The sequence below is a fragment of the Homo sapiens genome, chromosome 17 (assembly GCF_000001405.40).
Source record: "Homo sapiens chromosome 17, GRCh38.p14 Primary Assembly".
NCBI lineage: Eukaryota > Metazoa > Chordata > Mammalia > Primates > Hominidae > Homo > Homo sapiens.
Genome location: NC_000017.11, coordinates 81,560,671 through 81,574,011, shown reverse-complemented (window position 1 = coordinate 81,574,011; position 13,341 = coordinate 81,560,671). Strand labels below are relative to the sequence as shown.

The window sequence follows — 13,341 nt, the reverse complement described above, 5'->3', positions numbered from 1 at the left end:
CCCTGTGTCTTTAGCGCCCCCATCACAGCCAGCAGAGCGCAGAATGCGGAAGCCCATCCTGACTGGCAGCCACTCGTCACGTGGAAGGAGGACACACGACCCTCACCCAAGTCGGTGGAAAGTCATTTCAGTGTCCAAGGAAGGCAAACAGAGCAGAGCTGTGTATTTGCAGGAATGTAGCCTTTGATGGGGCGGGGAGCAATACGTGAAATGGAAATAGAGTCCAGGTTCATTCTCCTGCCCTCCTGGAAACATCAGTGGGATCTATTTGGACCATTTTTCTCTGGGAGGGTAGAGGCAAGTTCTTGTTGGCAGCTCTCTAGCTGTGAGTAGAGAAAAGGTGTGAGGGTATGGAGAACTGAGACACATTTCAGGCCAGAAATTGAATTTAAAAATTTTTTATTATTTTTTAAGACTAGTCAAGTACAATAGTGAGGAAAGGGGAGAGAGTAGAACAAGGAGTTGGATCTGTAACTGACTGTTAACAATCATCTGAGGTAACTCACCACCTTCGGACCAGCCAGAATTTAATTTTCAAGCAAGAAACAGGGCCAAGGGCCAAATGGGGGCCTGGGGCTTCTCATTAGGGTAATGGACTTGGTTTGACTTGGGAACAGCTTGTGATGATTGTCTCAGAAGACAGCGGGGCTTCCTGACATCCCCAGGAAGGTGTGGTTGTGATGGGGGTGGCCTCCTGTCACCCTGCACACCTCAGGGAGATTTGCTTGGCAATCATTTCGGGTCTGAGAGCTCCAATAAACGTAAACTTTTATGTAAGGCCCTATAATTGGAAATTATGGATGTATAATTTATATATGACTTAATGAATGATTTATATAATGTTAAGTGATGATTTAGATAGAAAATGTGATCCCCTCTTGCAGAATCTTTAATGAAAAGCTTTGGTTCTTATGAATTTATTTCTGGAGCTCTGTTTGAACTCAGCATGTTTGACATAAATCAGATCTAATTGTCATTTTATGATTAATGAACATATGCTGGCCGTTTTTCCCCATAATTAAACTTTATGTTCTGTGCATCTGACAAAGCAAAACAAGTTGAGACTTTGACAGATTGGTGTGGGGTTCCCGTGTCTTCATATTTGTGTGTGCGCTCATTTGTGCATGCCTTTATTTTATTAATGTCCAAGTACTCGGTTTCTGGAAAGTCGGGTTTTCAGAGGTGTGAGTAAGATTCTAAGAGTTAGCATTCAGACTGTGAGGATTCATGTGCTTTTGGAGGATAGACAGGGCACAGGTCCAACCTGAGGGGAACGCAGACCCTTCTGCCTGTCGCAGATCGCGCCTGAGTGCCAGGCCAAGCGCCATGGGTGGAGAGGAGGCATTTGATGTGCTCTCCCAGTGGGGAGTCCCAGTGCCCGAGAGCACGACTGCTTTTTCAGGCTGTGGTTATAATGAGCTCCAAGAAATGGTGGAAGGTGGTTTTACTGCAAAAATATGCACGTTTTCCTTTCTGCTATCCATACACTTCAATAAGATTTGAAGTAATTTAAAAAGTGAAGGCCGGACGCGGTGGCTCACGCCTGTAATCCCAGCACTTTGGGGGGCTGAGGCGGGTGGATCACGAGGTCAGGAGATCGAGACCATCCTGGCAAACACAGTGAAACCCTGTCTCTACTAAAAAATACAAAAAAAATTAGCCGGGCGTGGTGGCGGGCGCCTGTAGTCCCAGCTACTTGGGAGGCTGAGGCAGGAGAATGGTGTGAACCTGGGAGGCGGAGCTTGCAGTGAGTGGAGATCACGCCACTGCATTCCAGCCTGGGCGACAGCACAAGACTCTGTCTCAAAAAATAAATAAATAAATAAATTAATTAATTAAATAAAAGGTGAGACAAGCATGTGAAAGGAAAATCATTACTACTGATCGTCTTTGCTCACCGCTGTTCCCCTCTGACTATTGCAGGACGTAGACAAGTTTGGCAACGAGATCACCCAGCTGGCCCGGCCCCTGCCTGTGGAGTATCTCATCATAGACGTAAGTGCCCCCCATGCACAGCTTGGGCAGGTGGACCCATTGGGCGCCTTGTAGGTGGGACTGCTGGGTGGTGGCTGCTCAAGGGAGGAGGCTGCAATTTAAGGCACCCTCTGCCTTGAGCAGTGCCCACCCCAGAACAGGCACCCAGGAGGTGGTTGTAGAATCACTGAGCATGCGGTGTTGCTGAAATGCTCACAGTTTTAAGGGCTTTTTGTTTTAGTCTCAGGTTTTTATTTCCTTGACGTCAACCTAGGGGTTAACTGTCCCCATACTAAAGTACAAAGGACCACTGACCCCAGGCTAGGCAGCCTCTGGAAGGCAGCGAACCCCCATTGCTTGGGTCTCCAGTCACCGGAGCATCAAGCAGTCTTGTCCAGATGTGCTGTGCTTGGTGTGTGGCTGTCAGCTGTCCTGCACGTGCAGGTGCTTGCCCTAGCCCCAGCACAGCTGCCACAGCCCACAGTGTGTCTGGGTCACTCCGTCCAGGGTGGTCCCCAGGGGACACACCTGTAACTCAGTGTTCTTGAGTGAGGGCTCAGCGTGGTTTACTGGGTGGAACTCCAGGAGCCACAAAGGCCCCTGGCTCTTCCACATCTTCCCTGTGTCTCAGCTCCTTTTTGGAGGCATTTTATGGTCATGGAGACATGGCTGTACCATTGGCCACAGGGCAGCAAGGATGGCAGGATGAGCCTTTGCAGAAGCCAGTGCATCAGCCCCACCGGAGCTCTGTCCAAAGCGGACGGGAGGCGGCTCATTTCCTATGCTGCTGCCACGCCAGGATCTATTCAGGCTGCATTTGAAATTGGATGGGCACGTGATTCAGGCAGTAAAATATCATTGCATTCGGAACAGCAGGTCCCCACGAGCCAAGCCCATCGATGCACCATTCCAACTGACAGCTCCCGAGAACATATTTATTACCTAGGCCGTGAAGGCATCTGGTTTTTAGACTACCTAGGGTGTAATTAAGATGAAAACAGATTGATGGAGCATGCACCCAGGAGGAGCAGGCATGATTTAAAACCAGCTTTCTCAGGTCTTCTACCCCAAGCAGCCTCCCCACTTCTTTCCTCTTCTTTTATAAAGGAAGTTAAGTTTTTGCCTTAGTGCAGTTTTTCAGAAGTACTTGTTTGTGGGAGAGCATTCTGCTCTGTGATGCCCAGGCTCCTTGACCCTGTGGAAGTGAGGCATGGGGAGTCCTTGAGAGCAGGTGCCCAGAGAGGTGTGTCAAGCTCCATGCCCAGCCCTGGGCCACAGGCGCTGGCCTCAGCCAAGGTTCTTAAACCTTGGGATGGGATGGCTGGGCAGGCAGGAAAAGGCACCAGCCAGTGTTACTGGGGTTTCTTTGTGGGTTCTGGGGGCATCATCTGGCTGATAGACGATGGGTAGGGTAGGGAAATGGCTTCAGTGTAAGATGGGAGCTGATGCCCTTCCTTGGGACATCTGGGATGGGCTGTGTGGACTTTGGTTCTGTTCCCCTCCAAGGGCCAGTTACAAGGCCAGCAAGAGCCCCCGTCAGTCCCACTAGCTCACTCACTAGCACGTGTTCTGGGGGTGCCGCCTTCTTCATTTCTAGGCCTTCCCAAGGGACGCGCCTGAGCAGGCCAGGCTTTTGTCTCTGCAGGAGGTCAGCACCTCCCCTGTCTTCAGCTGGGACCCAGCACTGTGTGTACCAACACTATGTGTACCAGCCCCGTGCTGGGCACCCAGGAGGCGAGTACTCCGATCATCTTCATCCTGAGGAAGAGTAAAGTGAGGCCCAGGATCCCTAACTGACGAGGCCATGTAGCCGACACGTGGCACCGCGGCCCGAGTCTTCATGACCCACCCCGCCGCTTGCCCATGAAGGGCCAGCTCAGGCCAGAGATGCTGCTGGTGGCTCAGCTGTCCTTCCACAGCGGCTGGCGCTGGCACAGCAAATCCTGGGCCAGCTAGCTCAACAACTCACTGCCTTTGCTGATGCAGAAAACAGACCAGAACCACACTCATTCTTTAGAAATAGTCCCAAAGGAACCAGAATAGTTCCCCTAAATCTGGAAGAGGTGTGACCTCTGCTGCTGCTGTTGTGTTGCAGAGAAAAGCAGCATCAACTCAACTCGGTGCTGCTTTGGGGAGGGGTGTCTGTCACGAAGAATAAAAGTGGTATTTCTATTGATTCTTGCACATTTACCACTGTCCCTGTAGCATCTATTGATTATATCTTAGGTGCAAAGTGCCCTCTGTTGTCATTAAGGCCTGTCTGAGCCAGTGAAGGACTGAAGGACTTAGCTGGCCTTTGGGTATCAGCTCTGAGGGAGAGAGAAGAGCTGAACCCTGTGTTCCTCAAGGGCCTTACATTCACCCCTGCCTGGAAAAGCCCACAGCTCCGTGGAGTGGCTCCCAGCATTCAGAAGGGGCTTAGTGAGCTGCTGAAGGGTGCTTTGTGTCTTGAAAGCTGGCTGATTGCTCATTTGCCCTCCGAATCCAATGACACGAATCTCTCTTGAGCAAAGTCAGCTCCTGGGGCGGCCTCCTGGCCCTTCCGTTCCTTTCCTGTCACCTGGCCAAGGGGCCAAACCAGCCTTTCGTTCCTCCATAGCAGAGGGAGAGAACCTGTGTGACTCTGAAGGGAAGCTGTGCCACGAGGGGAGTCCCAGTGCCCTTTTTGTCCGACGTCGAGGCCGGTGCACAGGCCGGAGGCTGCCCGGATATGGTGTAGTTTGTCTCCAGGATGGCGGAGTTTCCAAGTGTTCGTTTAGAGATGACACTAATAGATAACGGTTCCCTTTGATGGAGAGCTTGTAGAACATTCTCAGAATTGCTAGGAGTCGTTAATTTGGGCTCTGGGAGATGCTCTGGGCTGGCTGGGAGTCGGCCACACCATTTTCAGCCTCATTTATCATGGGTTTGTGTTTTTCTTCATTAGATCACAACAACTTTCCCCAAGGATCCAGTTTACACTTTTTCTATTTCGCAAAATCCATTTCCTATTGAAAACCGGGATGTATTGGGTGAGACACAGGTGAGCTCTTTGTCTTTAGAAACATAATTTAAGGTAACTGCTGATTGTTATCTAGTGTCAGTATTGTTTTTCCAGAAAACATCAAGCTTTCAAATGCTCCCGATTCATTCTTGTGACAGGCCAGCTAGGGCCTACTGTGGGGCACTGCTGGTCACGTGGACGCCCTTCCCATGGCTAGGTGATGGACGGCCACAAAGGCTAATCCCCTGACGTCCTGACTGGCCACATCTTCAGTGGACCTCGTAATTTTCCCAAATGTGTTGCTTTGTGTCTTCTGCCAGCAGCCTCGTCACTGTTGGTTTGGCCTGGCCCCTGCCTGGTCACCTGCTGCCCTTCTTAGGCACCTTGGGGCTGTGTGGCCCCTCTCGGCCTGGCCTCGGCTTTCCCGTGTGTAGTGTTGATCTGCTGCTTAGCGTGGCTCCCGTGTTGGCCTCTGCTCTCACTGGCAGATCAGGCCAGGTCCGATTTGCTGTCACGCCTGCATACTGTGTAGACAGGCTGTGTACACATGGTTGTTCTTAAATCATAACTTGCTAACAGACATTTCAGAAGGTGGTCAAAGAATGTCTATAATGAGGTTTTCTTCAGTGGCTGACAAAGCTTCTTCTATGCTTTGATCCCCTCAGTGCCCATCCGCCCAGGGGACTTGGGGTGCTCACAGAGGTGCAAAGCCAGTTATTGGGGTGCACTCTTGAAGCTCTGTGTTTGGTTCTGCTGAAGATGTCCGTGCTGCATCACGGCTGCCCTGCACATTCCTCCCTCTTGCTGCCCTAGATGGAGAATACAGCTCGACAGGAAAAGTCAGACCTGTCTCCCTGCCGTGAAGGGGGCCCCAGGCCCCTCCCGCAGCCCACTCTCCACCGGGGGACCAGGGCGCATTTCCATGTTTGTGTCTCTGTCTGAGTCAGCCTTTTTTTTTTTTTTTTTTTTTTTTTGGAAGACAGAGTCTCACTCTATCACCCAGGCTGGAGTGCAGTGGTGCGATCTTGGCTCACTACAACCTCCACCTCCTGGGTTCAAGCGATTCTTCTGCTTCAGCCTCCTGAGTAGCTGGGATTATAGGTGCGCGCCACCAAGCCTGGGTAATTTTTTTTGTATTTTTAGTAGAGACGGGGTTTCGCCATGTTGGCCAGACTGGTCTCGAACTCCTGACCACCTGCCTGCCTCGGCCTCCTAAAAAGTGCTGGAATTACTGTGTTAGCCTCCACACCTGGCCAGTCTGAGTCAGCTTTATAAGCATGTCTCCTTGCACATCTGGGTAGTCAGGTGTGCTGAGAGCATCTTCTTGGGAGAAGAGAGCAAGAGCTTGCTTTGCAGCTGCCTGCTCCTCTTTCTTGGACCCTGTTCGTGGTTGCAGAGGCAGAGGGAGAGGTGTCTCAGCATTCAGTGTATTGAGTTGCGTCTTAGTAGGAAACAGCTCTGTTTCGGGGTCTGGCACTGGGGAACTGTATGGAACATTCATGTTTATTCCCATTCCTCTAGGACTTCCATAGCTTGGCCACCTATTTGTCTCAGAATACCTCATCTGTGTTCTTGGATACCATCTCAGATTTCCACCTCTTGCTGTTCCTGGTCACCAATGAAGTTATGCCTCTGCAGGTGCGTGTCCAAGTGTGGTGTCCACTTGAGCAAGTGGGCTTTGGCTGCAAAGAGACGCCTGTGTCTTGCTTTCTTTCCTCCCAGACCAGAGCATGATTGGGAAACTGGGTCAAAGCTCGGGGTCACAGGTTGTCCCCCTCATTTGTCCTATGGGCAGAGTGTAGGCAGCAGCTTTTCACAAGAAGCTTGTTGATAGAAAGATTAATTTTTTCACCTTTAGCATTTCCATTGAGTGTCTGCACCTCTGTGAGGAAGTACGGTTTCATCTGTTACAATCGAATGGGAAGCAGAGGTGATTTAGCTCTGCCTCCAGCATTAGAGTTAGACAGTTTAAAAAATTCCTGTTCTAACAGTTTCAGAGTCACAGCCTCTGCTTTTTACTCATATCTCCCCTCCTCCTAAATCAACTCTGGTTTTATTGCCTTGGCCCAGAAGGCTTGGCCAGCTTCCAGACCCCAAGCTCACAGCTGCACAGTTGGCATTTTTAAGAGACACCGTTGGGGGAGAAGAGGGCGAGTGCTTTGCAGAAGTGGCTGCTCTGGGTAGTGGGGGCCAGTGGGCAGCAGCCCCCAGGAGGTTCTTGCCGTGTGTAGGGGTCCGACTTTGGCTTTTTCTTCACTGTTCAAGCCAACAGGAAATGCCAAAGAGAAAGGAGCAAATTCTTTCTGAGCTGCTCCGCCACTGACTCAGAACTTTTCCCTGAAGGAGACAGAATAGAGAGGCTCCTCCTCCCCCGGCCTTTCTCTGTCAGGAAGCCTATAGCTGTTCTTGTATCCTGCTAGTTTATTTTGTGTCTGTATTTTGTCTCAAAACCACTCACTCGGGTATTTGACATCAGGCACCCTGTGCCTCTTCCCTGCCTGTGCCTTCCCTAGTCAGCCCAGGGAACTGCACCTCCTGCTCCGAGGTTCAGCTGCTGCCCATCTGTCTGGACAGGTGGTGAAAGGTGAGGCTCCCTCTACACCAGAGCCACCTTGCTAGTATACTGCACTATTTTTGCAGTCATCTGTTGGAAGACATTCTCTGGAGGTACTGAGAGCTCCTGAAGGCTTTATCCGTTTCTCATATATGAATTATTTTTTTTTAAGACGGAGTCTCGCTCTGTTGCCCAGACCGGAGTGCATTGGCGCAATCTTGGCTTACTGCAACCTCCGCCTTCTGGGTTCAAGCGATTCTCCCGCCTCAGCCTCCCGAGTAGCTGGGATTACAGGTGCCCGCAACCACGCCTGTCTAATTGTTGTATTTTTAGTAGAGACGGGGTTTCGCCACGTTTGCCAGGCTGGTCTCAAACTCCTGACCTCGTGATCTGTCTGCCTCTGCCTCTGAAAGTGTTGGGATTACAGGCGTGAGCCACTGCGCCCATCCTTAATGCATTAATCCCCTGCAGTTTGACTCGGAAGGCTAGGATAGAGAGTGCATTTTTCCAGACACGAGAGGAGAAAGAGGCAGAGGGATGAAATGTGAGGGAGGAGGACACGTCTCACAGTCAAGACTTCCGCCCTCCATCCCAGCCTCCAGGACGAGAGGCATGAGCTCCTATCCTCCGGGCTGTTGAGCACCGTCAGCACAAGGCAGAGGCACAGATGCCCGCTTGGGCCTATTTGGGAAGAATTTAAATTCTAGTTCAATTTAGCACTTGCGTTTATAGATGTAAGTTGTGGCAGTTTGCATTTTATAGTGATAGCCTGTAAGATTTTTAAAATGTCCTCAGAAATACGTCTTGATGTTGGGGAGAAAGAAACCTGTTCTAGCAGGAAGCTGCTCACCTTAGGCACAGCGAAGAGGAACCTTCCTTTTGGCTTCTTGTAGGACAGCATCAGCTTGCTGCTGGAGGCCGTGCGGACCAGAAATGAGGAGCTCGCCCAGACATGGAAGAGGTCTGAGCAGTGGGCCACCATCGAGCAGCTGTGCAGTGAGTACCCCCACCCCCTGCCCCGGCACCCCGTGGCTGGGGCCGGAGAGCAGCCCACTCTGCACAGCTCCCCACTGCCGGTGGTGCCCTGGATTCCGCACCCAGCTGCATCCTGGCAGGTGCCATCGGCAATGCAACGAGTAGAGACTCGGCCTCCCTGCCAGGCACGTGGCAGGCTCCGGTGATGGAGCAGACATGTTGTCCAGGCCGTACGTCTTAGGTACACAGCCCTGTAAATTTTATAAACCTGTACATCAGAGATACTAATCTCCAGGCATCCTAGGAGCACTTTGAACATCATTGTCTTAAGAGAATCAGAAACTTTATGGAAGCGCCGGAAGCGTGGGACCTTTTGGTCTCCTTGAGAATTTCCCTTTAGTGCTTAAAGCTGTAAGGAGGAGAAGCCTGCAGCATCCATGTTGTTGCTGGTGGACACTACGGAACGGACCGCAGGCATTGCGTGTCTTCCGGACCCTCAGTCACCAGGTCCTGAACGATTCCCCACTCGTGAGAACCTTCTGTCAGCATTGCTGCAGGGACTCCTCACGCACCGTGGTGCCTCGTGCAGCCCGAGTGCCCTGAGTCCCTGCAGCTGAGAGCACCAGAGTGCCCGGGAGCTACGGCCCTGGACAAATGCTAGAATCCTTCTGTTAACACAGCCTTCAAAAGACACATCAAACACCTTTATACCATTTCCTGTTTTTTTTTTTTTTTTTGAGACGGAGTTTGGCTCTTGTCACCCAGGCTGGAGTGTGGTGGCGTGATCTTGCCTCACTGCAACCTCCACCTCCTGGGTTCAAACGATTCTCCTGCCTCAGCCTCCTGAGTAGCTGGGACTACAGGCATGTGCCACCATGCCTGGATAATTTTTGTATTCTTAGTAGAGCCAGGGTTTCACCATGTTAGCCAGGCTGGTCTCGAACTCCTGACCTTGTGATCTGCTTGCCTCTGCCTCCCAGAGTGTTGGGATTACAGGTGTGAGCCACCACGCCCAGCCGAGGTTTTCTTTTCACACAATTCTTTGTTTATTATTTTTATTTTTGTAGAGACAGGGTCTCACTCTATTGCCGAGGCTGGAGTGCAGTTGCACAATCGTAACTCACTGCAGCCTCAAACTCCAGGCTCAAGTGATCTTTCTGCTTCAGCCTGCTGAGTAACTGGGACCACAGGCTTGCAACACCACACCCAGCTAATTCTTGGGGCTTTGTTGTTGCTTTTTATTTGTTTGTTTTTTAAAAATAATTTTAACTTATTTTAGATTCACAGGGTACATGTGCAGGTTTGTCACCTGGGTATATTGCCTGATGCTGAGGTTGGGGTATGATTGATCACATCACCCAGGTACTACACATAGTACCTAATAGTTTTTCAGCCCGCCCTGCTCTTTGTGTGTGTGTGTGTGTGTGTGTGTGTGTGTGTGTTTTGAGCTGGAGCCTCACCCTGTCTCCCAGGCTGGAGTGCAGTGGCGCAATCTTAGCTCACTGCAAACTCTGCCTCCTGGGTTGAAGCAATTCCCCTCCCTCAGCCTCCCGAGTAGCTGGGATTACAGATGTGTACCACCACACCTGGCGTTGCCATCTTTATGTACGTGAGTACCCATGTTTAGCTCCCACTTATAAATGAAAACATGTAGTATTTGGTTTGCTGTTCCTGCATTAGTTTGCTTAGAATAATGGCCTTCAACTGCATCCATGTTGCTGCAAAGGACATGATTTCATTCCTTTTTATGGCTGCAAAATTTTTTAATATTTTTGTATCAATGAGGTCTCACTGTGTTGCCCAGACTGGTCTCAAACTTTGGCCTCAAGCATTCCTTGCACCTCAGCCTCACAAAGTCCTGAGATTATACCTGGGAGCCACTGCACCCAGCCCTTTGATGCAGTTCTAACAATGACACCAGTCTTTTTTTTTTTTTTCTTTTTTGTTTCCCTTTTAGAGACAGGGTTTCACTCTGTTGCCTAGGCTGGAGTGCAGTGGAGTGATCATAGCTCACTACAGCCTTCAATTCCTGAGCTCAAGCGATCCTCCTGCATCAGCTTTCGGAGTACCTAGGAGTATAAACATGAGCCACTACACCCAACTAATGTTTTTGGTTGGTGTTTTTTTTTTTTCTTTAAGAGATAGGGTTGGCCGGGCCCGGTGGCTGGCTCACACCTGTAATCCCAGCACTTTGGGAGGCTGAGGCAGGTGGATCACAACGTCAAGGGATTGAGACCATCCTGGCCAACATGGTGAAACCCCATTTCTGTTAAAACTACAAAAATTAGCTGGGCATGGTGGCGAGCGCCTGTAATCCCAGCTACTCAGGAGGCTGAGGCAGGAGAATCACTTGACCCAGGAAGCGTAGGTTGTAGTGAGCTGAGATCGTGCCACTGTACTCCAGCCTGGGCGACAGAGCAAGACTCTGTCTCAAAAAAAAAAAAAAGATGTGGTCTTGCCATGTTGCCCAGGCTGGTCTCAAACTCCTAGGCTCAAGTGATCTTCCTGCCTTGGTTCCCAAAGTGCTGAGATTACAGCTGTGAGCCACTGCACCTGACCTTTTTTTTTTCCCCCCTCCTTTTTTTTTTGAGACAGGTTCTCACTCTGTCACCCAGGCTGAAGTGCAGTGGCATTTGAGGTCAGTCTCACCTTGACCTCCCCAGGCTCAAACAATCCTCCCGCCTCAGCCTCCTGAGCAGCTGGGACTACAAGCATGTGCCACCATCCCTGGCTGATTTTTTAAATTTGTTGTAGAGATGAGGTCTCACTATGTTGCCCAGGCTGGTCTTGAACTCTTGGGCCCAAGCGATCCTCCCGCCTCAGTGCTGAGATTGCAGTGGTAAGCCACCATGTCCAGCCAACTCTTTAATAATAGGCAGTTCTGACTGGTGTAAGTTCTGACTGGTATCTCACTGTGGTTTTAATTTGCATCTCTGATGATTAGTGATGTTGGGCATTTTTTCATGGGTTTTTTGTTTGTTTGTTTTGAGACAAAGTCTTGTTCTGTTGCCCAGGCTGGAGTGCAGTAGTGTGATCTCAGCTCACTGCAGCCTCCACCTCCCGGGTTCAAGCCATTGTCCAGCCTCTGCCTCCTAAGTAGCTGGAATTACAGGTGGCTGCCACCACACCCAGCTAATTTTTTTAGTTTTAGTAGAGACAGGGTTTCTCCATGTTGGCCAGGCTGGTCTCAAACTCCTGACCTCAAGTGATCCACCCACCTCGGCTTCCCAAAGTGCTGGGATTATAGGTGTGAGCCACCGCGCCCGGCCCTCATGGGTTGTTTTGTTTTGTTTTGAGACGGAATCTCACCCTGTCACCCAGGCTGCAGTGCAATCTCATGATCTCCACTTACTGCAACCTCCACGTCCTGGGTTCAAGTGATACTCCTGCCTCAGCCTCCCGAGTAGCTGGGACTACAGGCGTGCACCCACGCCTGGCTAATTTTTATATTTTTAGTAGAGATGGGGTTTCACCATGTTGGTCAGGCTGGTCTGGAACTCCTGACCTCAGGTGATCCACCTGCCTCGGTCTCCCAAAGTGCTGGGATTACAGACGTGTATACACAAGACACAAAGATCAGCTCAGGATGGGTCATAGGCCTAATGGTAAAAGGTAAAACTATGAAGCAGGCTGGGCATGATGTCTCATAGCTATAATCCTAACACTCTAGGAGGCCAAAGCTGGAGGACACTGTAGCCCAGAAGTGTGAGACCAGCCCACACAGCATAGTGAAGCCCCGTCTGTACAAAAAAACAATATTAAAAAAAAAAGAATTAGCTGGGCATGGTGAGTGGTCCACGCCTATAATCCCAGCTTCTGGGGAGGCTGAAATGGGAGGATCCCATGAGTCAGGAGGTCGAGGTCACAGTGAGCCATGATTATACCACTCCAGCCTGAATGACAGAGCAATACCCTGTCTTAAAAAAATAAAAACTGTAAAACAGTTATTAAGTTGAATCTCTTCAGGGCCTTGGGGTACGCAAAGATTCTTTTAGGCAGGATGCAGGACCTTGGGGTAGAACACAGAAAAACACTGGCATAAAAATAGGTAAATTGATAAATAAATTTATCTAAACAAAACACTTGTGCTCATCACAGGGCACTGTTAGAAACATGAAAAGGCACCAATGGGGGACGCAGTATTAGCAGTACATACACACAACATGACTTCTATCTGAAACTTAAAAATAACTCTGCCTGTTGTTAATCAAACAGAAAGCAGAAGAAGAAGCTGGGCGGAGGGTGAAACGTTTCACAAAAGGAAATGCAGGTCGGGCATGGTAGCTCACGCCTGTAATCCCAGCACTTTGGGAGGCCGAGGCGGTGGATCATTTGAGGTCAGGAGTTCGAGACAGCCAGGCCAACATGGTGAAAACCCATCTCTACTAAAAATAAAAAAAATTAGCCAGGTGTGGTGGCACGTGCCTGTAATCCTAGCTACTTGGGAGGCTGAGGTAGGAGAATCGCTTGAACCCAGGAGGCAGAGGTTGCAGCGAGCCGAGATTGCGCCATTGCACTCCAGCCTCGGCAACAACAAAAAAAAGGAGATGCAGGAACAGTCACTATCATTAGTCATCAGGGAAATGCAAATTAAAACATGAGAAGCCGTTACACATTCATCAGTGTGGCTGAAATGAAAAAAACGCGACAATGTCAAGTGTGAGTGAAGATGTGAAGCAGCTGGGACTCTCGTACCTTGCGAGTGGGAGGCAAAACCGTGCCACCCTCGCGAGAACTGTGTCTCAGGGTCTTAGAAAGTTCAGCACACAATTCATTACCCTGTGGGCCGGCAGATTCATTCCTAGGTAGGTTTTTTGTTGTTGTTGTTTGTTTGTTTGTTTGTTTTGAGATCTCG

General features: G+C 50.1%; 1 protein-coding gene across 11 annotated transcripts in view, besides 2 other annotated features; it reads left to right on the top strand.

Moving 5' to 3' along the window:
* The window catches only part of NPLOC4 (NPL4 homolog, ubiquitin recognition factor), an 80,228-nt gene that overhangs the window by 63,101 nt on the left and 3,786 nt on the right, over window positions 1-13,341 (top strand). For 3 of the 11 annotated variants that reach the window (XM_011524980.2, XM_047436368.1, NM_001438810.1), the window contains 5 exons: window positions 1,924-1,995; window positions 4,901-4,996; window positions 6,479-6,595; window positions 8,405-8,507; window positions 10,033-10,091. In XM_011524980.2, the coding sequence (XP_011523282.1) occupies window positions 1,924-1,995; window positions 4,901-4,996; window positions 6,479-6,595; window positions 8,405-8,507; window positions 10,033-10,091 (447 nt within the window). Of the gene's footprint in view, window positions 1-1,923; window positions 1,996-4,900; window positions 4,997-6,478; window positions 6,596-7,409; window positions 7,542-8,404; window positions 13,130-13,341 lie in introns of those variants that run through there. The other 8 variants (NR_130139.1, NM_017921.4, NM_001369698.1 and 5 more) reach the window with 6 other exon arrangements.
* Window positions 3,238-3,446: a silencer, noted in NCBI's record as "fragment chr17:79537592-79537800 (GRCh37/hg19 assembly coordinates)". NCBI's record gives its function as "represses an EF-1alpha promoter that drives an FKBP-Casp9 reporter gene in an ReSE screen in phorbol 12-myristate 13-acetate-treated (for megakaryocytic differentiation) K562 erythroleukemia cells {active_cell/tissue: K562(+PMA)}" and the evidence as "EXISTENCE:reporter gene assay evidence [ECO:0000049][PMID:32094911]".
* Window positions 12,924-13,023: an enhancer, noted in NCBI's record as "active region_12972". NCBI's record gives its function as "activates an Ori minimal core promoter by ATAC-STARR-seq in GM12878 lymphoblastoid cells {active_cell/tissue: GM12878}" and the evidence as "EXISTENCE:reporter gene assay evidence [ECO:0000049][PMID:35858748]".